This window comes from Homo sapiens, chromosome 2, assembly GCF_000001405.40.
Source record: "Homo sapiens chromosome 2, GRCh38.p14 Primary Assembly".
NCBI classification, from domain to species: Eukaryota; Metazoa; Chordata; class Mammalia; order Primates; family Hominidae; genus Homo; species Homo sapiens.
The window spans coordinates 124,747,052-124,774,353 of record NC_000002.12 but is presented as its reverse complement, the minus strand read 5'-3'; the positions used below and the strand labels follow the sequence as shown (position 1 = coordinate 124,774,353).

Below are 27,302 nucleotides of genomic sequence, written 5' to 3'. Positions count from 1 at the left end.
TAGTGACTGCTTTCCTCAGAGCTAAAAGTTGCACAAACCTAAATTTAAAGGAAGCAAGTAAGGAAACTTCCATTGAATGCTGGTGGCATTTCATCACTAGCAGTAAAGCTATGTAGTGTGGGAGTTGGCAAAAAAAAAATAAATAAACAAAAAAGGAAACAAAGTTAAATCTGGGTAGACTGACAAATTCTGTCACTTATTTACATCACTGTTCTAAACATCTGAACTCCAAGTTTTATATAAAAGCACACTCTTTGTTTTGGTAGTATTGACAATATTTCTTAACTTTAAGAGCTCGATTTTGTACTTTAAAGCTTTACAAGCCCTCCTCAACCTATGTTAATTTTTTTTAACTACAGCTATAAGGCTCACCCTGTATTAGTCTCTCTCTCTCTCTCTCTCTCTCACACACACACACACACACACACACACACACACACACACGCACTCCCTTATGTTTAACAAAATGTAAGAATTATGTCAAGGGAAACAAAATGCCAACATAAATGTAGTTAAGGCTCAGGCACTGAAGAGAGACTTCCAAAACCCCATGCTCTCTTCTCTGTGAAACACACACACACACACACACCAGAGGATTATAAACTCCTTGAAAAGCAGTGGTAGTGCTCAATTCATCTTTCAATACCCACTATCTAACAAGATACCTGACCAGTTGTAGATGCTCAGTGACTATGAGTGGAATGAAAGTAGTGAGGAATGACTAAAGAAGGATGCCTGGATCTTTCCAGGCCCCCACCAGCAGCAGTTGCCAGTTCAGATGAACAGCCTGTGGCAGGTTGATCCCCAGTGCTATGATTTCAGGTACTATCAAAGAGCCCCCTGATTTAGAAAGGGATCATTCCTTTCTCAACCATGTTACTGTTGACGAAAATCCCTTTAAAATGGTTCAACTATATCATTGCATGGATATCTGTAATTATCAGGACTGGGGCAGCACTTGGAAGGGCAGCCCATGACTTACAGTCTACACCCACTAAGTTGTAAAGAGTTGACATGTCCTGTCCCTTGGAGTAGATTTATATTACAATGATGTAGAACAAAAGGGGTCCCTGGGCATCTGAAGACAATATTACAAAAAGAAAATGTACAGAATCTGGACAACCTCAAAATTTGCTAAAGGTTAGCATTATCTTAACTCGATGTAGCCAATGAAGCCAGAATAAAAGAATGTATAGAATGAAATTTACCATTAGAAATGATTTATGACATTTTGATCATATCCCAGATCTCAGATAAAAGAGAATTTTTTCTTGGGCATGGTCACACAGTGATCTTGCAGGGTTTAGCACAAAAGGAGCCTTAAGATGTCCCCTACCTACAAACAACTGGCTGTTCAGCTGCAGTCGAAAATGGCCCTCCTCCGACGTCTCCCTGGTGCTCCTTGGAAGGTTGTCCACCTGCAGGGAGGTCTCCTTGAGGTTCCTCTCAGCCCGGACATAGTGCCATTGGTTGTCATTCAGAAGAGAAGGAGACTGGACTACAAGCTCCACAGGACCATTCCCAACATCGATGGCAAAGGTGATCTCTGAAGGAGCTGAAACCGGAAAGGAAAACAGGAAGGATAGAGGGAGTTGTTAGCTCATTCAAGGCACAGGCTTGAGTGGGAGAAACGATTGTAAGTCAGTATCAATATAGAGAAGACTTCTTTTGAAATCCCTGCAGCACTGAAATCACCATTAATAGTAACAGCTACCAAATTAAATGTGTATACTTGTTCCAAGTTGTTTTTTTCCTGCTACGTTTGCAAATTCAGGAAACAGGATAGGCACCTGGACCATTCATGCTCATCTGATATACCTGCATGAATGCCGAGGCCCTGGATTTTCTGGATCTATTGTGGCTTCAGCTGTGTCCTCCAGGATATCTGCAGACATGAGGTTAGCAAGGCAGCTCCACTCCTGCAGGGAGGAGACTTAGGCCTTGGGAAGTCCAGTGCTTCCTCCTTATTTTACTAATGCATGTTATATAAGCATTTGTGCTATTTCCATAATGAAAAAAGCTCAGAAAGTTGTATCGCCTTGTCCAAGGAGACACTGCTGCAGGTGGCGGTACCTGCAATCAAACCCAAGCCTCCTGTCATCACATGGGACTCCTTCCATTATTCTTTCTGCCTCTCTATAACAATCTTTGTATAATGGAAGCCAGATGGCACCCAGTCAGAAGTAAGCATACTGATGATGGTGAAATGACAATGGTGATGGCAGCAGTGATGGTGGTGGTGGTAGTGCTGTGGTAGTGGTGGTATTGATGGTGGTGGTGGGCATAATGTTAATGCTGATGGTGATGGTGGTGCTGATGGGGGTGGTGGTGATGGAGGTGATGATGATGGTGATGGTGGTGGTGGTGATGATGATGGTGGTGGTCGTGGCAATGGTGGTGATAATGGTTGTGGTGATAGTGGTGGTGGTGAGGGGGGTAATGGTGATAGTGATAGTGGCAGTGCTGATGGTGGTAATGGTGATGGTAGTGATGGCACTGGCAGTGGTGGTGTTGATAGTGGTGGTGGCAGTGGTGGTGATGGCGATGGTGATGGTAATGGTGACAGTGATGGTGATGGTGGCAGTGCTGGTGGTGGTTAATGGTGATGGTGGTAACGGTGGTGGTGATGGTGGTGATGAAGGTGATGGTGATGGCGCCAGTGATGGTGGTGGTGATGATAGTGGCAATGGTGGATAACCATTAAGAGAGAGAATTGGAAGGGGTAGCACAGTGGGAACAACAAACTCTATGCCAGGCACCATGCTAAGCACTGACCATGGATTATCTCATTTTAATACACAAAACCACCCTATGAGAAATGTACCATTATTAGCATTTTATGAGTGAGAAAACTAAAGTGCACAGAAATATAAATAATTTGCTGCAAGTGTCTTAAGTGGTTAGCAGAATCTGACTCCACAGGCAGGGTTCTTCACGATGTTGCTCTGTTGAGTATATTGTCTTGTGTTTTCCATTATCACATAACAATGTTCTAAATGTAAAGGAAATGGAGAGGCTAATTGTAATTTACAAATTGAGGATGAGGAGAGGACTGGAACTTTCATATGCTAGGCATTCCTTTTTTTCTAGGCACCTTCACAATTGCTCCCTCTCCTCTACCCCCTAAAATAGGAAATGGGTATTTATTTGATGAAGTCATCAACTGCCAGATTTAAATTATCGGAAATGCCAAAAGACAAACTCCACCTCAGAGCACTTTCTTCCCAGCCTTTAAACCTTAACTGAAAGCAGCCTCCATCAAAGTCCGCATTACACAGAATTTTGAGTATCTGAGAGCTCGAATTCTTTTGCTTTCTACCGAGCCCTGGCCTAAAGGAAAGGTAGTAAGGTGGAAGCAGTAAGAATGGGATTTAAGAGCTTAGACTCTGCAGCTACTGTGATCTAAGGCGAGTTTTCAATGTCACCATGCCTTAATTTTCTTGTCTGTAAAATGGGAATAAAAACAATACTTAAATCATCAGATTATTTAGACACGAATCCTGATAAAGTTATTAGAACTGTGCCTGGCACATACTGCATGTTCAACAGGTGATGGCTGTTGTTATTATTACTGTGATCTGTGATTTTTCAACCTAGGCAAATTGGCTTCAGGTGACAAATTCATGCCTTAAAGGAAACAGAATTGAAGGGAACAGATTGAGTGATGAGCAGTTAGACTAAATAAGAGTGAAGGTGGCCCCTTGAGTCTTTCTCTGTTTCTTATTCAGATCACCAGTGCCACCTGGCAGCCCTGCACATCCCCAAATTTAAAAACACTTAACTGAGAGATGACTGGACCCCACATTTACATTTTTCTATAAAACACAGAATAAGATTGGTGAGAATTTGGGTGAGGAATGTTAAAGATTTTGCTAAAAGCTTTCCTGCAAGGCTAGTCTTGTGGATAATAAATTCCACTGAGACAACACATGTTTGGGGAGGGCTTGCTGTTTCGCTGGCTGTGACTAGCCTTGCCCCCTGACCACAACCTCCATAATAGGTTTCCCATCTGTGCTTACCTCTGCTCCAAACTGCAGCCCCCTGCTGTATAATAATCTGTTTATTGTCTCCCCCGAGTCTGCAACTCTAGAAGAACATCTGATTTATCGTATACCCAGCACCTAGCACTGTGCCTTGTATACAGGAAGTTCTCATTTTATTCACTGAAACATCATTACACTGCACATACTAAATGCCATTCTGCAATTTTCTTTATACCTTTACAGTTTTATACCAAGTTATTAGGGTCCTTGCAAAGTCTTTAAAATTATTATTATTTAACTTTATTAAAGCAACTGTTAAAGACATACTATGTTTAAGCTGCACCTCCTAGAATCAGTAAAATTCAATAAAATCAGTAAAATTCAATAAAAATAGTTAATATTTATTGAGTACTTACTGTGAGCCAAATACCTTACTACTCATTTTTCATTAATTGACTCACTAAGACTTGCTACAACTTTATGAGACAGGGAATCTTTTACAGATGAGGGAAGTAAGGTACAGGTAGTAAGCTGTACCTAAGTAAGCTGACCCAGTGTGGGTGGGGCAGAGTCTGGATGTGAATCCAGATGGTGTTTCCCAGGGCTCAATTTTTAAATTATTATTCCTGCGATAAAACCTCCACACCTGGAAACCTGTGCAGTTGCCCTGGCTAGTCAAAGCTAGAATAGATAATAAAGATGCCTGAAAACAATGTGAGAGAATGAATGATACATCCCACTGTGGCCCAGTATAACAGGGCCCTTAAGGCAAACTCAAGCTGGCTCTCACTTGCTGAAGAGGTGGACATAGCCCACTGGCCCTGAATAGGAAGGGAGAAGACCAATGACAGCATTAGCTCTATCATGAACTTACCCTCTAAGTTCAACTTCCCCCAACCTTCTGACGAATGCCTTCTCTCACCAGCTACTTCTTTATGGTTCAAGGCAAAACTAAGGAGTCTTAGCCTTTCAGGGCATTTTTTTTTCAAGCCAGACCCTGTGCTAGGCACTGAGAATTCTGAGACAAATGAAACAAGATGAGTTCATGATTTACTTTTGAGAAGACTGATAAAAAAAAGAAAGGGCATGTTTAGGGCTGTAACAGAGTTTCTACCAAGTGCTCCTAGGAGATGAGAAGAAGCTGCTAAGAAGACTCCTGCATGATGTTCTTCCAGGACTGACCACCAAGCCCATTAGAGAATATCCTTAGGACACACTCTGCACTTCTCCCAGCACTCAGTCCTGAGCTCCATGAAGACGGAACCACACTCCATTTCTGTGTCCTCAATCCCCACCCCAGGTTGGCATGAGAGAGATTTCAGGGTCGATTTATGGAATAAATAATTCATAAGGCCTTAACATAGTGAGTTAATCTCTCTGGCCTTCTACGTGTCCATGTGTAAAATGAGAAATATGAACTAAATAAAATACTGTTAAAACTTTTCAGGGACATAATCTCTTCAAGGATCTGATGGCAGCCACATTTTCTATCTCTAGAAAAATAGTACCTGTGGTATTGCACAAAATTGCAGGGGCTTCCTTTATGTCCTGTGCCTCAAAACCTGGAGGTAAATAATTGTATGTTCTCTTAAGTTCTAACATTGTCAATCCTGTGGACTGGTGCAAAGCAGAGTCGGGGTTGCTGCAAGGAGTCAGACAGAGCTGGGTGGGTCCTCGATTCTAACCTTCCCAGCTGTGCGATCAGGGCTTGCCACTTCCCCTCTCTAGGTTCATCCTGCCTACCCGTGCACTGTGTGGTGGTAATCACAGTACAACACAGTGATCGTCATCGATGGGAGTGCTTGGAAAGAAAATGAAATCAGGAATGTAAAGAATTGTATAGTGTCTAATCAGAATAATTGCTCAACAATTCAACAAAAGTGTAATTATTAGTAGTATTCATTTGTACTATTTTCTGAGGTTCTAACTATAGTGTGTCCAAGTTAACATCATATTTTGTAATATTCTCAGTATGATACTTCTGAAATCATAAAGTTAAATCTTTCTCTCTTTCTTTTCTCTCATATTTATACAGTAAATATATACATAAACATACATATACACACACACACACACACACACACACACACACACACACATACATACAGTATATATATGTACAGTTTTTCCCCTGAGCAGCTCAGCAAATTTCTGCAAGGTATTTTTAAAAATAAATTACACATTTCAGTTCTGACAACTGCCTTAGAAGAATCCTCATTGATTGTCTCCCTGACGACTACCTTCTTTCTAATAATACTGAGTTCACTTTGGGAGACTCTTCCCTCTTTCCCATTCCCATGGGCTTCAGGGGAAGCTAGCCCACTCTCTGGTGTGGGGGTAGGCCCTGGTATAAATCAATCTGCAATGTATACGTTCCCAGTCACACACATTGGTTCTTGGGGGCCAAGTGAGTGGCCTCTCAGGAGGATTGCTCGTAAGGCTGGAAAGCAGGGATTCTTCACCAGCTGGGATGCAGCTCCACCATGATGGAGAGCCAGCCTTAGACCGAAGTAGACATTCAACATTCATAACAGAGAGAGAAAACCATCAGATGACTGACAACTTTGTTAAACTACTGAAAACAACCATAAACGAAGCCAGTCCTACCTCCTCTGGGCTTAGTCACATGCTCCAGTACCAGTGAATTCCCATTCTTGTGGTTGCCAGTTCAGATTGAATTTTCTGTTATTTGCAGCCAAAGGCATCTGGGTGGCATATGGATGTCACCAACCCCATGTTGCATAAATAAGCATAGGAAGGGAGAAGAACTTGCTCAAGGCAGCTCACAAACCCACTTGGAAGAACAAAAGTTCAAATCCACATTGGGTTCTAGTCTAGCTTCTTTCCACTATGCCAGACTGACTCTCAAAAGCCATTTCCTTCTGATCTCATCTACTCTAAAATATCAATTTCTACCTGTACAGCCATTGTGAGATAGGTATCAAAATAGTTATCGTTTTCACAGGCCCACTAAAACACATTCACTAAGACTTGTGAACATAGTGGCGTGTCTTCTTTTTCATAGAGTATGGGCTACGAAATTCAAATATCTTTGAAAGCAGGCTGGAAGGAAATGGACTGAAAATTTCATGGGAATCTACTGTTCCCTGTCCAATAATTCGGATATATCAACCTTGGAAACTGCTGCTCAGATAGTTTTAGAGGAACACTCCTTGCGGATGAGAGGGAAATCTATTCTGAGCCACTGCATCTGTTAAAAGGCCATTTCCTTTCCAAGTGCCTGGTCTATAGAGGTTTCTTGCCATGAACCCTTTAGGGTAAAAATTCCATCTGCCTAAAATGCGTAATATGAGTGTAGCTGTAAATAAAGAATACAAGATGTTTCCATCCCACTTTGGTCTTTTCCCCTTTTAAATATTAATAATAACAAATATTTGAGAGTATAAGATCTTGAACTTTTCAATGTTTTTATATAAAATCTTGTCTTGGAGAGTATATGTTCTCCAATCTGGTGATATATTATATACCAAGCAATTACTTCAGTGGGTTTTGATTTTTGTCAAATGTAATTCTAAAATACAGTACCACAAAGTGCAAACAAACTGGACATTGATACGTAATTAACACTAAATCATCAGTCATTACTTTGTAATAATATACGTTTGCTGCTGCTTTAATGAATCAAAAGGCCATGGGGCCTGATTTTTATTAAATTTACATTGAAGTTATTATATCCATATTATGAAATTGTTGGCATTCAACTCAACATTTTTAGAGACTGGCCATGTTAGGTATGAGGGATCTTGTTTCACACCAAAGCCACAAGAGCTTCCTCCCATTAATAGTCTCAATAGTTGGAGCAAAAGGAGGTTAAAACTACCAATTAAGAAGATCTTTTTCCTTGTATGTATTGTGTGGTAACTGCAAAAGAAACACTTAGCTGCTTGGTAATTTGCAGGAGACTTAAACACCTCTGTCATCTCCTCCAGTCATTTTTTTTTTTTTGTCTCCTTTTCTGGAGCTCTCAAGTTTCCAATTTCTGTTGCTAAGACATGACTTATGCTTTCAAGGGTATTTCATGCAGTCACATCATTATAGTGATATGGTCAATTGCCTCAATCAAACTACAGAAAAACATTCATTTAGACACACATACATAGGGCACCTAATGACAAGCCTGAGTCTTTATGGTCATGGTAATAACAAGGGCAAGGTGGTGGGTACAGCCTACCCCATCTATAAGCAATAAAAAGTGTGCTGCATGCAGAGAACCAAAAAAATAGCAAACGTCACTAAAAATACATCTTTTTAAAAATTATTACCATACACAAGTAATTCTAAGCAATGTTAGTGATAAAACATCCCTTCACCAAACAAATCGTTTGTTGGTCTGTTTCAATAGATGCTGAAGCTACTGTTTATTTTTATTTTTTTTAACCTATTTTTTTTTTCTGAGACAAAGTTTCACTCTTGTTACCCAGGCTGGGGTGCAGTAGTGCAATCTTGGCTTACTGCAACCTCTGCCAGTGGGGTTCAAGAGATTCTCCTGCCTCAGCCTCCTGAGCAGCTGGGATTACAGGCACCTGGCACCACACGTGGATAATTTTTGTATTTTTAGTGGCGACGGGGTTTCACCATATTGGGCATGCTGGTCTCGAACTCCTGACCTCAAGTAATCCTCCTGCTTAGGCCTCCCAAAGTGCTAGGATTACAGGTGTGAGCCACTGCGCCTTGACTTAAGTTCTTACTCTTAAAAATAAACAAATATATTTTGTTTGTATGACACTACTGTTAATTTTTAACAATGTATATATAAACTTCAAATTAGTATGTTTTCTCTCTTTCCACTTAATAAATATTATATTCTGAGGGAAAGTTAATACATAGAACTCTAGATTTACCATTGTCTTCTAAAAATACAGACTCAAATCTAATTGTTTATTTTTAAGAATAAGAACTCAAGTTCTCATTTTTCATCTGTATAATTACTGTGCTAGCTTTGTTTGACTCAAATCTAATGTTGAATACATGAATGTATGGAACCACAGAGGTTTGAGACAAAATTTGCATCCTACTAGAACCCAAGCAACTTCAAATTCTTAGGAATATGGTAACTTTTTACCTAATAAAATAGAAATTTATCATTAATTTTCTGTTGAAATTATTGTAGTAGAATTTTTTTGCTTGCAGAGACATGTAGAAGTTTCTAGAATCAATCCTGAAGTAAAAACATTAACAGTACCAGAATTTACATAATTTAGTATAAAATGAAATTTTTATGAATTTTTAACAAATAGGAAGTTTAAAACCTTATCTATTTGTATAGCTCTTGCTTCATATGAAACAAACTAAAATTAATAGAAAGTATTATTTTCTCAATATAAGATAAATGGACATGAGCACACTCTCTTTTGAACATGAACATATGAAAAAACTTAAATTTTATGAAGTCACTGTCAAATTTCGAGAAGTAGAGACTCAGAAACATAAATTTTAATGTTACTATGATCGCAACAGAGCAATATATAGGTATGCTTTTTCCCTTTTTATTAAAAATACCACTTGATGTAATTTTTTTAAATTGTATTTTATTAGTATTGGAATATTGTTTCATTAGTATGATTATATACAAAATGTTTAATTATAGGAAATGTCACCATCTGTATTCCCATTATTTTTCTTCACATATCATGATTATTACTGAATATAGTTTATATGTAGGATATGCAGTGCTAAAAGGTGATCCACATCCTGGCATCAAGTTTATTAGATACGCCACTGTCCATGGGGAAGTGGCAGAGAAACCATGGGAATTCTGATTGGATAGTCACACGCTCCTAGTGTGGGAAATAAGTCAGGAAATTACTTTTGGAACAAAGGCAAAGCAAAAAAGTAGACCCTAAATATGAATAGAATGCATAATAATCCTCTTTTCAGCTTTGCATGGAAAGTGTCATGAATAAAGTCCTGTAGTGTGGAAGATTAAAGTCACAGGTAAGAAATACCTTTGGAAACTGTAATAGGTGTCTATGGGAATTTTCGGAATATCCATGTTTTGATAAGAGAATGACTGATTAAATACTGACAGGTCATAAAAAATCATAAAGCATCAGAAGGAACTAGACATTATCACTGCTAATTTTACAGATGTCCAGTGAGATTAATTTGCTGGTACAAATGCCCACTAGTGACTGGTGGCAAAAACAAGACTAAAACTTGTTTGTTGATCAGTTACATTAAATTCATAATTGAGGGCACTTACAGCTTATTTCGAGTCGAATGAAGTCTTTAATGCCAAGATTTTCTAGGAAAACTCCGGATAATGCTGTGGTTTTAAAAAAGAAGGAAATATCGGCACTGAATTCCGCATGGAAGGTAGGAAAGTGGAGGTAAGAGGCTTCTGTATAAAATGAGACGGCGTTCCAGAAGCGTCCTGCAAATGAGAAAATCCTTCAACATGGTTTATCGTTTTCAGTGGGGTATGGGAAAGCACTGGACATGTGGATAATTTTCAAGACTAGGGCACACTGCAGGGAAAAGGGATAAGGGAGTAAGAACATCTTGTGCTCATGTAATGCAGAGAGAAAGCTTCTTTCGATTTTGTACTCACGGTCACCATAGCAACGCAAGGGACCAATTCTCCAAGCGGCTTCTGAGTTTGATCTGTCGGTATCAGTGATAACTATCTGAGTGACAGGCAAGTGGTCTTTGAAGGAAAGAAAGCCAGTATCATTTGTCCTGCAAAACATAAATTTAAGAAAAAAAGAGGACAAAATGTGGATAATCTAGGGACTCTTTTCCATGACCCCTCTTTTCAGAAGTGATTTGGCCAGTTGCAGCAGGGTAGGGGCAGAGAGGGGGAAAACAGAAGGCCTTTCATCGCCTAAGTGTATGTGAAGGGAAGGAATGTTAATTACAAAACCCATGACTGGCTTCCAAAAACAAGTGAATTTTACATCTTCCCCACGTGTGCTTGTAGAAATGGATAGTTTACAAAGATGCTGCTTTTGGTGGCTAAGAGCAGCCCACCAGCTCAATGTGTGCTAATGTGACATTAAACCTCACCTCTCATTCCCATAAAGAGATCGGCTATCTCAGCAACTAACTTGAAACAGCCATCACAAATTCCACTCAAAAATCACTCCAAGGACTTGTTTCAGCCACCTGCCAACAGGTTTTAATCAAGTTTAGATTTTTTTTTAACCACCTTTTAACTCGAGGTGCTTTATAGTTACTGCTTCGTTGCTTTTCATTTTGTTCTTAAAGATCTCGGTAGCTAGTGACTCTGGCTTTGTTTTTGTTAACCATGCAAATAAAATATTGACTAATCACCTTTGGATAAAGTTTAGAAAGAATAGGATAAGCCATTGGATATTTTCCCCTTTTGTTTAAGGTGGTGTTTTTGGACTCATGGTAAGGGCCACATCATTTGGCTGAGAAGGAAAAATTGGATGTAGGAAACTAGCATTGAGTGTACAATGGTTTTGAGCAGAAATAAACTAGGGGATAGGTATTTTTCCCCCAAAAAAATTCCTATGCTGTAGGTGTCATTATGCCCATTTCAAATGAGGAAACTGAGGCTCAGAGATATTAGATAGCTGGCCTAAAGTCACACCTCACACCACAGAAGAGACAGGGACAATGCCACATTCTTGGTATCCCCAGTATCTACCCCAGGTCTTTAAGGACATAGTTTTAGAAGTATACAGCTGTGCTCTGGAATCTCAGTCCCCAGGTCCTAGCTGTGTTAGACTGGGCAAATAATTTCATTTCTGAGATCTTCAGTGTGCTCAATTTTAAAATGGAGATAATATCTACATCACAGTGACTGATGGGTTTAAAAGAGATTATGTAGTCACTTAGCATGGTGCCTGATCTACGGTAAATGCTCAAAAATGGTGGCAGTGACACTTATTTTAGTTCTAATCTTTGTTCCTGAACTACTCTGTGGCCCCAGGCAAGTCAATTTATCTTTTTATGCATCCACCTATGATTTTGTATTGGAGAGCTTATATTACACACCACATGTAGAAAATTAAATTTTCAGATTTATTATCCAACTCATGAAAACGGAGAAAAACATATTAATTCATCTTGATTATGAATAAGTCAAATATTCACCTGTACATATATTCCTACAGATCAAAAGGAAAATGTAAAGAAATATACCATACAATATCTACAATTCGAATACCTGTACTTAGAGGCCATTCAAAGGATATAGAATAAGGCTTTTGTCTCAGCTTGAAAGTACATCTATGAATGTTGCATAGACACAGGGATGAATTTCAATCTCCACATTCCGGTATCTTTTCAGGCAGAGATTTCAAAGCAAATTCCAAACAGCCGAAGTGGAATGAAGACCAAACCCATATCCTCTCCTGAAGAAATTCTGTACTGCAATAGAATTGTATGTCTCTCCATTTCCATTTTCAAGGTGAAAATGGTAGTTTCTAAAGTCTGCCCATCAATGCCAACGACTGCCTTTCATACACATTCTGGCATCTTTTCCACAAAAGTTTGATGTTTTTGTGTCAAAGTGTTGGGATCTAAAAATAGCACTCTAAGAATAAAATTATCTTCCAAATAACAGAGGAAAGAAATTGTATTTAGTTTGATGATGCAAAGCACATTACTAAGAATATTTTTACCTGAAAACTTAAAGTAAATTGCTCTCTAAAGCTGTTTAATGCAACAGAAACAGACACAAATTTAAATGCCTACAGGGGCCAAGCAAGTCAAAAAGCATGCGAATCCAGCTTTGTGTTAGTAATAAATGGAAATTGACACACAATCTCTTGTCAGGGGGAAAGAGAGATAAGTATAAAATAGCTGTCCCAACTAAAACAGGCCTGTAGTACTCACTAGCAACAGGAAATTATGCTATTCTGTAATATGAGACCAAAGAGCCAGGCTAGAATCTTAATGTAAAAATTTTCAGTTTTTGAATATTGGCAGTGAATTTTAAATTTCTTTAAAAAATTATAATGGGAACCCACACTGACTGGACCAATAAACTGCAGATGAAGGCTGTGTTGAGCCTATAGGCAATGGAACCATCAAGGGGAATTTGTGTATTTATTCCTGCTTTTAAGGTCATATTAGGAATATGATCGGATTTAATTAAATTTGTGAGTGACAGGTACCATTCCAGCACTTCAAAACAATGGGTAGGACAATTGGTGGTGATGGTAGTGGTGATCGTCATGGTGGGTTTTAGTCACAATAAAATGATGCAAATGATGGTGGTACCTATTGATAGGCAAGGAGTCTACAGCTGTAGATTTGCTTTCTTCATGCCAAGGGTAAGGATTCTGCAAACTTTCACTTCCTTTGGAACAATGCACAAGGCCCTTCCTAAGTACAGTTGAGAGATGATTGTGTTGTATGTAGTAAGAAAGCCTGTCGCTGGGATCAGACGACATGAGTTGAATCCATGTACCTCAACACCCTAGTTGTATAACATCAGTGAGGTCACTCTGGGGATCAGCTTTCTTATGTTTTAAATGGTTATAATAATAACAATAATTCAATATTGTTGTATTAATCAAAGGGAATAATGCATACAAAACAATGAACACACCAACTTGTACATAGTAGAAACTCAATACATACTTATGGAAATTCTCACTGAAGTTTGAAATAAAAATATGACATACAAACAATATATAAAAGGAGAACAAGAAACGGCACCCCACACCAGGAATGCATGAGCAGAGCAGCCAGACATTCCCATTTATGGAGTCTACAAGGGCACATGGAATAGGCATATGATCCTTAAAAAATACTTTAGTATGACCAAAAATAATAAAACGCATGTGGCAAGAAAAAAATTAAATATTCTCAAGAGCAAGGGTATGGTACAGAATTAGTCAATGTGGTCTTCTCTAAGTTTAAATATCTGAATTTTGGTATTTCACCAAATTTAGAGTGGCAGAGTGGTGGGGGCGGGGTATCATTCAGGTTTGATGAAATGTCACAGACTGCCATTCATTTTCATCAACGAATTTTGGTTAACTGCTGCTTGGTAAGCTTATTTTAGTATATAATTTGGGTGACTTAACTATTAAAAATTACAGTGGGTTTTTTTCCCCTCTTTTGTGTCCTTTCCTCTTTCAGTCACTCAGAAGCAGCAAATAAAACGTTATATATATGGCAGACAAACAGAAAATTATAGGAAGAATTCAAGAACTCAGTTCCCTTTGAAGTCCTTATGTGAATCTGAGTGGATCAACCTCAAGAGACCCCACACCCCCTTCTCCTGAGTGGGGTACATGATGTTTTACATTTCTTATGGCTGCAAAGGAGGAATGGCCAGTAAGATGCCTGCAAGCAACTCTTCAAGTCTGCAATGCTGCACTGATGCTTGCTGATAATTCTGTCTTAGCTTTGTTTAAGGAGCAATTATTTCTCTTTTGCTTTCTTTCTCAAGGCTTCCAGATTTAAAAAAAAAAAAAAAAAAAAAAAAAAAGACCGAGGAGTTTAGGTAACAAGAAGCTTTAAATGAGCTTAAAGGTCATTTGGCTGCCAACCAAAGCAAATGCAGGCATTGAGTGGTCAAATATACAGTCTACCCCAGGATAATATCCATCTCCCTGTGCTCCACACAGGGGTGGGTGGGAGGGACTGGACCACATCTGCAATCTTGTTTTTATTTCCTAACATAAGAAACAAGGGGTGAAGGCAAATAAAGTATGTATTTAAAATGTTCAGAAACTATTTTATTTTCTATAAATGCTCCAGAAATCTGAAACCATAGGACTTTTCACAAACAGATACAAGAAAACAAAAGCAGGTCTTGGTATATGAATCAGCCAAGGTTTACTCAATGTCACTTTACTGCTAAGAAATTAAAATGACCCTCAAGACGTTAGAGATGTAAAACTGATTTTAAAAATACCACAGATGAAGATTTTGGGAGTCATAATTTGTAGAACATTCCCTCAATACAAAGAAAGAAACAATTAGTGGTGCCATTATATATATATATATAATGTGTATATATAGATATATATATAATTTATATATATATAATAAATATATATAATGAATATATATATAATGTATATATATATTTTTCTAGAAATATATTTATACATTTCTAGATTGCCTTTGGTCTTATTCAGGAAGCAAGTAGATTAAAAGTCAAAACTATTAGACTATACACCATACTTGTGATTCAACACCACTTAGATCTTGATGATTCCAAAATATATATCTCTCTCTGGAACACACCAACTGTTTGTCTTCTCCAACTCTTCAAATTTCTCAAGACTCAACTCCAGTTTCCTCTCAAAAATGTTCCCAAATGTTCTGTATTCTCTTTTCCCTCTCTATTCTAATTTTAATTTCTTGCATAAAATATTTTGTGACATTGATTTATATATTGACTTGTGTATGTGTGTGTAATTCTTGTTTTCCCTGTTGGAAAATGATTTAATGTTTTGTAGAGAATAAGCTCGACATTAAATAGCAATCTAGCAAAGGTATCTGCAAAGTCAGACCATCGAACCCACTGTGATTTGCTTTCTCTTGGCTTGAGCAATCCTCCCCTTGTCCATGGCTAGTATTTTATCCTGAATCTCATCTTCTGACTTCTCAGGGCACTTTCTCCTTCAATTAAGCTCTCTCTTTATGTTGTACCTTCAACTTCTCCCACTCTTTCTGCTTGCATGCTGTAGTCATCCTCAACCCTATCTCTCAATCTAGTTACTTCCCTTCTTTTCTCTTCAGAGCCAAATTTTCTTCAGATAATTGCCTGCATTCTGTCATCTCATCTTCCTCTGCACCCTTTTCCTCCTCAACCTACGACAATTGGCCTTTTTCCCCTTCAGTCCACTGAGACTTCTCTTATTAAATTGCTAGTTTCCATGGAACATGTCGGCCCCTAATGTCCTTCACTTTGTTGCACCATTTTACATTTTACTTTTGCCTTCTTTGCTGCTACACACAGACACACAGACACACACACACATGTTCCTTCATGAATATATATTTATTTGACTGTCTACTAAATCCTTCCCTTGGATGTCATCAGGCACCTTAAACTAAGATGTTCAACCTCCTTCACTAGTCATTTTCTCAGGGGTCAACTTTCCCACCTGTCTGTCACTCAACTCTGTGAATGACTTGTCCTGTACACTCAGTTGCTGAGATCATAAGCATAAGAGTCTTCATTTCTTTCTTACTTCCTCCCTCACTCTTAATTAACAATTTCCACCAATTTCACCTTCTTCATATCTCTCCATTCAACTGCTTTATCCTCATGCTGCCGGACTCAGTTTTATTTTGAGATCTCATGGTTCTGCCTAGGCTTTGGGGCTGGTGACATAAACTGGATCCCTGCTTCTAATCTATCCACTCTCTTAATTCCTATCATTCTTCTTATTATTCCAAGAAACATGTTTACATAATATGTACCATGATTCATACTTTATTGCTTAAAACCTTTTAAGAGGTCTCTACCTCTCACAGGCAAAGTCCCAATACCAAAATATTTATAAAGTGGACAATAAAATTCTATTTTAAATCACTGTTGCCTTTTCCAGAGATAAACTATTTTTTAAAAAATAAGATCCCTAAATTAGAGGCACTGCTAGAGTTTGAGGTTGCTGCTTTATTATGTACTGGTGGTTTGGGGACTCAGATGAGCAACTTATATCCGTGGATGCCTTCCCTGGCCATGGGAGCATTGAAGTAGAGTTTCACTCATGAGCTCACTTAATCCTGAGAATAACGCTAGGAAAATATTGTGACATTTCCTGCATTGTACAGGAGCAATAACTGAGATTCAGGAAGGTGATGAAACTTCTCAAGGTTTATCATTTGCAAATGGAAAGGCCAGGATTTGCACACAGATTTAGATGCCAAAGCATTTGCCTATAACCACCAATGTCTCCTGTGCTCCAACACGGGTCTCCCACCTGCCGACAGCAGCTCTCTCAAGAGTGGAAGCTGGTGTTTCTCACATTAGTCTGTGCCGCCTCTGGACTGTGCTGGAATCACAGAGCCAGGCCCTGAGTCCTCACACTGTCCTCCTTAGGTCTCAGGGTGACCATCCCCATTCTGTGCACACAGGCTTTCTCCACATAAGACACAGCTCAATTGACTAGGTTTTAGTTTACTAATTTGCAATCATTTTCCAGCCCTGCATTCCCTGAGATTACCCATGGATCACCTTGACAGGATTTCTGGGAGTCCATGAGCTCTTCTGTTCCACATTCACAAGGAATCTCTTGGTTTATTTACACACAGGGCAGATCCATCAGTTACATGGTGAATTTTAAGAATAAACTTTCAGACAGCAGCCCTATTTTGGGGAGAAGGAACCTCAGTGCTATTTCCTTACTCCACTCGAAGTTTGGTGGTTGAATGAAATTTGTGCTGGCATGCTATTACTTCTGTTTTGTTTTTGTTCATTGCATACATGCATTTATACTTTTCTTTCTTTCCCCTTTAGTTTCTTTTCTTTTTATTTCCAACTTTTAATTTCAGGGGTACATGTGCAAGATGTGCAAGTTTATTACATAGGTAAACATGTGCCATGGTGGTTTGCTGCACAGATCATCCCATCACTTAGTTTTTAAGCCCAGCATCCAGTAGCTATTCTTCCTGATGCTCTCCCTCCTCCCACTCCCAACCCTCCTACAGGCCCCAGTGTGTGTTGTTCCCCACCCCGATATGTTCATGTGTTCTCATCAGTCGACCCCCACTTTTAAGTGAGAAGATGCAGTATTTGGTTTCCTCCTCCTGTGTTAATTTACTGAGAATAAAGGCTTTCAGCTCCATCCATGTCCCTGCAAAGCACATGATCTCATTCACTTTTATGACTGCATAGTATTTCATGGTATATATGTACCACATTTTCTTTATCCAGTCTATCATTGATGGGCACTTAGGTGGATTTCATGCCTTTGCTATAGAGAATAGTGCTGCAATGAACAGACATGTGCATGTATCTTTATCATAAAATGGTTTCTATTCCTTTGGGTATACGCCCAGTAATGGAATTGCTCAGTCAAATGATAGTTCTGTCTAAGTCTTTGAGGAATCGCCACACTGTGTTCAAAAATGATTGAACTAATTTACACTCCCACCCACAGTGTAAACGTGTTCCTATTTCTCCACAACCTCTCTAGCATCTGTTGTTTTCATGGCTTTTTAATAGCCATTCTGACTGGTATAAGATGGTATCTCATTGTGGTTTTGATTTGCAATACATGCATACAGACTTTTCTTAGACATCCATTTAACTTCTATAAATCAATGTTGCCTTTTATAGCTTATTTAAGATCGGCTGAAAATGGAGAAAATAATAATAAAAAGATGGTTGATAAATCTTTGAGCTCTGACTCCATGCCACATCTGCTGGGTGCACAAATTATTGCTAACTCAGCCAGTATTTCCCAGAGATAGATATTCCCCCACTTTTAAAAAATAAATTAGAAACCAGAAGCTCAGAGACGCTAAATGACTTAGGCTTTCTAGTTAATAAGTGACAAATCCACAATTTGTTCTTTCCATTACATAATAAAATATTACTGAGAGATTCATTACATTTTATATCCAGAAAATGACAATGATACCAGCAAAAATAGCTACAATTGGGTGTATTCTAAGTGTTATTACATGAATTAGCTCATGACACTTTCACAAAATACCTATAAGACAGATGTGCAAAGGAGATGGAATTATTTCTCCTTCTGCTACATGATGAAGGCACTACACTTTTAAAAAATGCAGACATTGGGATTTATTTGTAGTTCACAGAGAGCATTGCCATGGACCACGGAAGCAGCCCCAGGCAGAGTAGAAATGACAAAGACAGAGAGAATGAAAGGAACATGAGAACAGCATCACCAGCTTCCCATTCTGTCAGAGCTGTCCCCTTCAGACATACTTGGCCAAGAGTTCCAGTAAATTCTGATCAAGAAGAAGTTGTAAGGAATGTCTCCTTGTGTATCTGTGTTCTGACTGGTGAGTTCTGAATATCCCTGTGGTAAAGCCACCTCCTCAGGGAGAGGATCATTTCATGTAAATGCAAAATAATAATCCCTATAATGACTTTGAGTTTTATTTCTGATACAATTTTGCAATTGCTCAAATAATGAGACTTTACAGACAATTTAGTGATAGTATATTTATAAGGCTTGACAGATAACTGATGTAATAGAAACCTCAGGGTATGTTTTGTTTTCCACAAGATAAAAAAAAAAGTATTTCATAGCTATGTTTTGTTTTCCAGAACTCATGGATGATAGGCTGTTCATATTAGATATTTTTCCCTAAAAGTTGGATAGGATGGTGGCATCATTAAATAAAAAGAAAGAAAAAAAAAACCTGCTTTAATGCTACGCCAGGCAAAATATCAGCTATTTACCTCATTTAGAATTCTACAAAGTAATGATGCGATATTTTGGTTTTGAATTTTCAACCTGTTATTACAAGTTCTTTTTTTCTATTTTCATATTTTTTCTTTATCTCTTAATTGGGCAATGCCTTTTTATTCTTTCCATTGAAGTACCTCACAAAACATTCTGCCTAAAAAAAAAAATGTAGGCTGGGCACAATGGTTCACGCCTGTAATCCCATAACTTTGAGAGTTCGACGCGTGAGGATTGCTTGAGGTCAGGAGTTTGAGGCTGCGGTGAGCCAAGATCACACCACTGCACTTGAGCCTGGGTGACAGAGTGAGATTCTGCCTTAAAAACAAAATAAAAAAAAATTGAAACCCAGTCATGGGAACATTAGCATAAGGAAGCCAGTATCAAGTTACTCCAGAATGTATACTTTAAGAGTATATTCAATGACTGAAACAGCAGAAAATAACTAGAAAGTGTGGATGGGGAGAGAGAAAATGTCCCATCTCTTCATTCATGCATCCTCTCATTCAGCAGTTAAGGCATGGAGGACCCACCGCATGCCAAGCACACTCCTCTCCAACACAAGAGGCTGGCGCTGATTAGTTTGCAAGATGTGTCTGGGAATTCAGGGACCGAGTGAGCAAAAACCCACATAAACCCTTCCTAATTCCTGTCTGCCTAGAGAACAAGCACTTTCAAAACTCAATAAGCAGTAGAGTAGCTCATAAACAGATTAATGAATAATAAAATTCAACCAATAGAGATTGCCTAATTTATTATTATTTTTAAATAAGGGATAGAACGTTAGTGTGCCCTGAGGTGAATTGTTATTTCTCTCAGAATTCAGGATTGGGGCCCCTTCTCAAGATACTATGTGGTCTAAGGCGCCCTTAATGCATGGAGCCTGGGAATCTCAGAGGTGAAGGTTTTGAGGAAACCGAAAGAGTTCTGAAAGATCAAATAATGACCCAGGTGAGGAAACAGCAAAATTCGACACCACTAGGAGGCATCCAGCATCATCTCATTCTGCATCTCATGGGAAGGGAATGCAGGGCCCTTGGGGAGGGCAATGTCCTGGGGCCTGGATTAGACATGCATTCACCAAAACAAAAGCTTATTTTGAAGGCAAATGTATACAAAGATAACTTTTGGAACAGGAAGTTCACTTGTAACTACTTTTTAAAAAATTAATCATTTAATTGAACAACAAAAATTGTATATATTTATAGGGTATAACGTGATGTGTTGACATATGTATAAATTGTGGAATGGCTAAATCAAGCTACCTGACATATCTATCCCCTCACATGGAAACAATCTCAGCGTCCATCAGTGAATAAATGAATAACGAAAATGTGTATATAACCAATGAACTACTGTTCAAGCTTGGCAAATTAAGAAAACCCTGCCCTTTTCAATAACATGAATAAACCTGGAATATATGATGGTAAATGAAATAATCCGGGCATAGAAAGAGAAATAACTACTTTTGATAGCCAGAAGAAAATCAATCTGTAGCAAAAGGCATGTAGGTTAAAATTTGGTAAGCATTTATTGTGAGATTGTGAAACAGGAGTAATGGCTAACAAGGAAGTAAATTTCAACTAATTCTATCATGGCTATGGCCTGACCTATCTAAAAATACATTGGTAAAAATCTGTCTAACAGAAATCATTCATCCATCATTCATTCATGAATTTAGCAACATTTATTAAATAATTTCTCTGTAACAGAAAAGTAGAACCAAAGAGTAAGTAGTAGCTTAAAGCTCCAGGATTCCATGTGCTAAAAAGATAACATCCCATAAAAATATTCTATTCTTTATGGAAAAGAATAAAATATTTTCTTTTTTGGATTATCAGATGACCGGAATTTACACCTTACATCATTTTCTCTTCCTATTTTTGCCATATCACTTTATACAAGGGTACACTAAGGGCGAGAGGCAAAGAACAGAGTTACTAAAAATCAAATGAAAACTTCTGTACTTTCTTCTAAAATAAATAAAAGAATGTTCTACTGCCAAGTAAAAGAGCTTCACTTTAGGGCAACCTGGTTGTTTGGATGAGAAGACTCTTCATTTGGGCCACGGGTCATCATCATGAGGGACATTGTGTATTCTCTCTGCCTTCTCCAACATGCTGCTCCACCAGCCTTTGACGCCTCTTGCTGGATGACTGTTTTTCCACCTTCCACACAGCCCAACACTCTCCTGTGCTGTCTCCAGGGTCTGCAACCCAGAGCTGTCACCAGAGTTTCCTTTCTTACTCTCAACAAGCCAGCACTATAAAGTAGCTGGTTCAGAAACCATCTAGTTGGGAGGACTCCTAGAGATTGAATGATTATGTTGAGAGAAGTTCCTTTGCAGACAGTCATTAATCAGTAAAATTATTATTCTTTATATGTTCCTTCATTTATTCCTTTTTCATTACAATTTAGTGATTTGGCTGAGATAGAAAAACCCCTAGGAAATCAGCTAATTCCGACGGGTAGTTAAAGCTTTCCTCTTACTCTAAGAAGGAAATGTGCTTTTGAGGTTCACTGAATGACTTTTTTTTCTCTCCCCACCCACCTCAACCTTGTGAGCTGTGTCACTTTCACTCAGCCCTACAACATGCACTCATTATCTTCATTTACTTGGGTCTTATTGAAATGTATGTTATTCAGTTACAGTGGCTTATTAAAATAGAACAAGACGGCCATGGTTGAATGCACCTATAGTCCCAATGCTTTGGGAGGCTGAGATGGGAGGATTGCTTGAACCCAGGAGTTCAAGAACAGCCTGGGCAACAAAGTGAGAAGCTTACTCAAAAAAATAATAAAACAAAACAAAAAATTATCAATCACCAGAGGCTTAGAAGATGCCCCAGTTTCCCTAAGCACCCTGGCTTAGCAAAAAGAAACATGCATGCTGCGGTGATGTGATTTGAGAGATTGTAGGAGAGTTCTCTCTAGCATCCTTACTGACTGGCTATTATTCAAAACTCCAACATTAGCAGCTCCTTTGACATAATCATTAAGGGCATCCTTAGATTCAGCTAAAATGCCTACTCTGCCCCTTAGTCAAGCGACCTTAACCGAACCATTTATCATCTCTGAGACTCAGTTTCTTTTTTCTGGGGAAAAGAAATAATAAAACCAACCTCAAGAGTTATTGAGATGTTAATATGAGGTACAGTATATAAAATATTAAGAACAATTCAGGATATGATAGGTAACATTTAAGTGACAATACTATCTAGGAGTTGTAACATATTCAACCGCTATCCACTGCGTGCTATACAAGGCCAAGTCAGTTTTCTGATTAATTTCACAAGAGCAAAAGCTTGAGGGAATTTTACAAGGCAAGAATATCCAAAGTTTCTCTGAGGCACACAGAGCACCACTGATATAAAAAGAGGTGTGGTGGTCTAAAACAAAAATTTGAAACGTGTGGAAAGTCAGTTGTCAAGAAATAAGTTGCATGTATGTTGAACTTGATTAACTATTTCACAAGTGTGTTAGCTTTTGTATTTTTCCTTTCTGCAGTAAATAGTAGAGTTTGATAGATAAATAATAAATGCATTTTCACAAAGATATGCCTGGTGTCATGTGTGAATACTTATTGTATGCCCATAATCCTTGTACAGACAAAGCTAGCTCACTGTTATTTCCATACAAGGAGCTTCATAACCTGAATTTGACCTTCCTCCTTTCCTTTATCTTCTGTACATTTCTCAAATGACGACTGTGCAACAACCACACCAATATATTTGTGGTTTAAGAGGCCGGTGATTTTTATATTATTTTAAATTTCCCCACTGCACACAGATGTTCCCCCTACCCCCAACCCCTACTTGTAGTACACCAGTTTGTTTATTTATTTAACTAGCTGCTTCTGCTCCTTCAAAACGTAACTGCTGCTTCTCTTCACAATCTAAATTTCCCAGCTCATTTCTACCCCAGGTTCAGGCACATCTGTGCTTATTTCTCTCGCCAGATTTTTTAAACCCATGTATTTCTATTAGGTTGGTGCAAAACTCATGGCAGTTTTTGCCACTACTTTTTTTTTTTTTTTTTTTTTTTGAGATGGAGTCTCAATCTGTCACTAGGCTGGAGTGCAGTGGCGCGATCTCGGCTCACTGCAACCTCCACCTTCTGGGTTCAAGTGATTCTTCTGCCTCAGCCTCCTGAGTAGCTGAAACTACAGGCACGCACCACCATGCCCAGCTAATTTTTGTATTTTTAGTAGAGATGGGGTTTCACCGTGTTGGCCAGGTTGGTCTCGAGCTCCTGACCTCGTGATCCGCCCACCTCGGCCTCCCAAAGTGCTGGGATTACAGGTGTGAGCCACTATGTCCGACCTTGCCACTACTTTTAAATGACAAAAACCACCATTACTTTTGTACCCACCTAATAACTAAATAGCATTTTCTTTCCAGTGTTCTGAGGGTTCCTCAAGGGCAGGGACCGTAATGCCCCTGACTTTCTCTGCACAGCAGACTATCCGTCTGGCACACAGTAGGCACTAAGTAAGTGATAAATCAGTAAATATCTGATAAAGTAATACATATAAATGCTTCTATAATAAAGTATTTATAAAAACCCTTTATCACAAGCTATGACTTGCACTAAGACAATGAATGAAGCTCAGAAGTGTTGAATCAGAATATCAGTCTCTACTCCCTCTTGAGAATGACAGAAGAAACTTTCTGATCTGTTCTCACCTAGACTTTGCCCAAAGATGGTCAACGTGCTGCTATGGGACATCCAGGAGTGAGTCAGGCATCCTTAAGAGGGGAAGTTCAGTCCTTTTCTCTTGACCTTTGATAGGCTGATTGTTGAACAGGACCTTATCTAATAATAAATTCTGGTGCCCTGAGCGAGGTCTCTTGCCACAGAAAATGGCACTGGATGGAAAATAGTCCCTGGCTCTAAAGGAAATGGAAAGGGTCATGAAATATGTAATAACTTCTGGAATGATCAAGGTGAGAGAAGACATTATGAAGAATCCCTCTGGGCTCACTCTAGATGATGAAGTGAAATTATCAGATGAGGGGTTCAGAGTGAAACATTGAGCAAGTCAAAGGAGGGAGAGGCTGGGAGCGGAATGGAAGAGATCAGTGGAAAGTTTTAGGAAAGGAGACACAGAGCCCTTCAGCCCAATTAAGGGATATAAGGCCACGCTTTTCCCTGCCCCTCAGTGTGCAGTAATTTAAGCCTGGGTCAGTTGTTCCCAAGTAAGAGGAGACACTGAGGTAGTGTTCAGTAGGCAAATGTCCTATAAAGAAAGGGGTAAAGGAAAAGAAACAGTGAGCAAAGATCAAGAAGGCAGCTAAGAAAGGACTCAGAGTCTGCCGGGAGCGTTGGCTCACGCCTGTAATCCCAGCACTTTGGGAGGTCGAGGCAGGAGAATCATGAGGTCAGGAGCTCGAGACCAGCCTGACCAATATGGAGAAACCCCGTCTGTACTAAACCTTAGCTAGGCGTGGTGGTGTGCCCTGTAATACCAGCTACTCAGGAGCCTGAGGCAGGAGAATCGCTTGAACCCTGGAAGCAGAGGTTGCAGTGAGCAGAGATTGCATCATTGCACCCCAGCCTGGGCGACAGAGCAAGACTCCGTCTAAGGAAGAAAGAAAGAGAGAGAGAGAAAGGAAGGAAGGAAAGAAGGAAGGAAGGAAGGAAGGAAGGGAGAGAGGGAAGGACGGAGAGAGGGAAGGAGGAGGGAGGGGAGGGGAGGGGTCAGAGTCAAGAGTAACTAGGGGGAAGCACTTCTACCTATTCTAGCTCCTATATCTGTTTCTTTGACTATACACATAGTGTCTAATATGCACTGTGAGAGTAAACCTATAAATCAAAGGAATGAGTGAATCCAAGCGATTGGGAGCAGATGTTTGAATATGTTTTACGGCAGCACAACCATCTAACACTTCAACACACCTCCCAAGCTCATAGGTGCCATCTTGCGATAATTCTCTTCTTTAAAGATTGTCTAAATTAATCTGTTCAACTAATTACCACTGAATGTCTTCTGTAGGTCTTGAGAGGTATAATGTTTAAAGAGACATGGCCTCCACCCAGGCTACAAATCATAGTTGGTTTGTAGGCATCCGCAATAATGAGATAGAATTCGCTGCAGGATAAAGTGGGGGCTCACAGAATGCAGAAGCCCATTCTACCTGTGGTTAACTATATCTGATTTTACCCACATGAAGAGGCAAAATTCATTACCCTATAACTTCGGCCAGCTTGAGTTTAGGAGAAGGCACTCGGGTAACCTGCCCTGGTGCCCAAGCAGCCCTAGGGTGTTCTGAAGTGATAATACACATCTCCTAGGACCCAATGAAGACAGATGCCTGGTCCTTTCCTTGCTGAACTGAGATTTTGACTTAACTTTATATTTTATGTGAAATAGTCCTTGCTGTTAACAGTTTGAGGAGTGAGTAAAAACACTAAAGGGAAATTTGGGGATTGAGACTAGCTTAACATAAGAATTTTTAATTAAAATTAAGTAGCATTTGATGAAGTAAGCAAAATTGCTAAGCCAAAACCAAAGAATGCTTTAAATTCAGTCAAAACAAAAGTATATTTGGAAATGATCTGTACATATTTTCACAATCAATACAGTAAAAAACTAGCAGTTCACCTGGAGGATAAAAGAAGAGTAAATGTAATGGGCATGGAAGCTTCAAACTAAATTGATTTTACAGAAGTAAGTTGGTGTAGGAGACTAAGAAACTCTGGCTGCAGAAATGGCTGATTTCTGATTCTGTATCTATCACTTGACAGACATGTTTGACACTGGGAAAATTATTTAACATCTCTGCAATAGATACTACTCAACATTAAGAAGCAAAAGTAAGATAATTATATGAAATTTAATAGATGCTTAATAAATATACATTTCCTTTGCTATGTGTTTATTGGTAGCAAAAGGGAAGGCTGGTGACTGAAACATCAATGGGAGCATGAAGAAACAGCCTATATAACCCCACATCCCTATCTCTCTCACTCTCTCCCCCCAAAACATATAGTCCACATATCATAAATACCCTGACTCAATCGCAAAGCTCAATATTGCATGCCATTCCTTGTTTGAAATGGGAAGTTCTGAATATAAGAAGCTGGTGGGGGCCAAGTGCGGTGGCTCATGCCTGTAATCCCAGCACTTTGGGAAGCCGAGGCAGGTGGATCACGAGGTCAAGATATCAAGACCATCCTGGCCAACATGGTGAAACTCTTGTCTCAACTAAAAAAAAAAAAAAAAAAAAAAAAAAAAAGAAGAGTTAGGAGTGGTGGCATGTGCTTTTGCTCCCAGCTACTCAGGAGGCTGAGGCAGGAAAATTGCTTGAACCTGGCAGGCGGAGGTTGCAGTGAGCCAAGATCGCGACACTGCACTCCAGCCTGGTGACAGAGTGAGACTCTGTCTCAAAAAAAAAAAAAAAAAAAAAAAAGAAGAAGCAGCAGCTGATGGTATGACCACATGCTTATATGTACCAAACATAAGTTGTCATACTGAAAACACTAGAATTTACCATTTTTAAGGTTAAAAAACAAAAGTCACCATCGGGGGAGCTCCAGTTTGTATTGAATTTCTCATCCATGTCCTTCTGTCTTGGGGAATTTTATGCATCAATTAATGTGCTTTCTCTACAATTGCAGAAAGATGGAGATTCTCATTACCATTCATCCTTGTCAGCGTCGCAATTGCAAAAGTGCTGAATGTCCAGGCAGCTCTCGTCTAGGCCACACTCACACTGCTGGACCCCAGGAGGGGAACCTCCCCAGTAAGGGTGCCTTTCATTGGACCGCCCAATCCACCAGGTAAATGGTGTTCCATCTGGAAGACAAGATATTCCACCAGTCAGGGTAGGGCAAGCCTGAAGTAACACAGGGGATGGCACAGAAACTGAGCTGAAAATATCTTGGAGAATAGATGTATATAGATAATCTCCTTCCCTTCCTGTCTTCTTCCCTCCCTCACATCCCCCCTTCCCTTTGCTTGCTTTCTTCATTT

The 27,302-nt window shown here is 39.2% G+C and overlaps 1 protein-coding gene across 3 annotated transcripts in view; it reads right to left on the bottom strand.

Annotated features, from left to right (window-relative positions):
* The window catches only part of CNTNAP5 (contactin associated protein family member 5), an 895,933-nt gene that overhangs the window by 146,866 nt on the left and 721,765 nt on the right, over positions 1-27,302 (bottom strand). For all 3 annotated transcript variants that reach the window (NM_001367498.1, XM_017003316.2, NM_130773.4), the window contains exons 14-17: positions 26,969-27,125; positions 10,555-10,682; positions 10,207-10,377; positions 1,337-1,555 (exon numbers count right to left, since the gene is read on the bottom strand). In NM_001367498.1, coding sequence (NP_001354427.1) covers positions 1,337-1,555; positions 10,207-10,377; positions 10,555-10,682; positions 26,969-27,125 — 675 coding nt within the window. The remainder of the gene's footprint in view (positions 1-1,336; positions 1,556-10,206; positions 10,378-10,554; positions 10,683-26,968; positions 27,126-27,302) is intronic.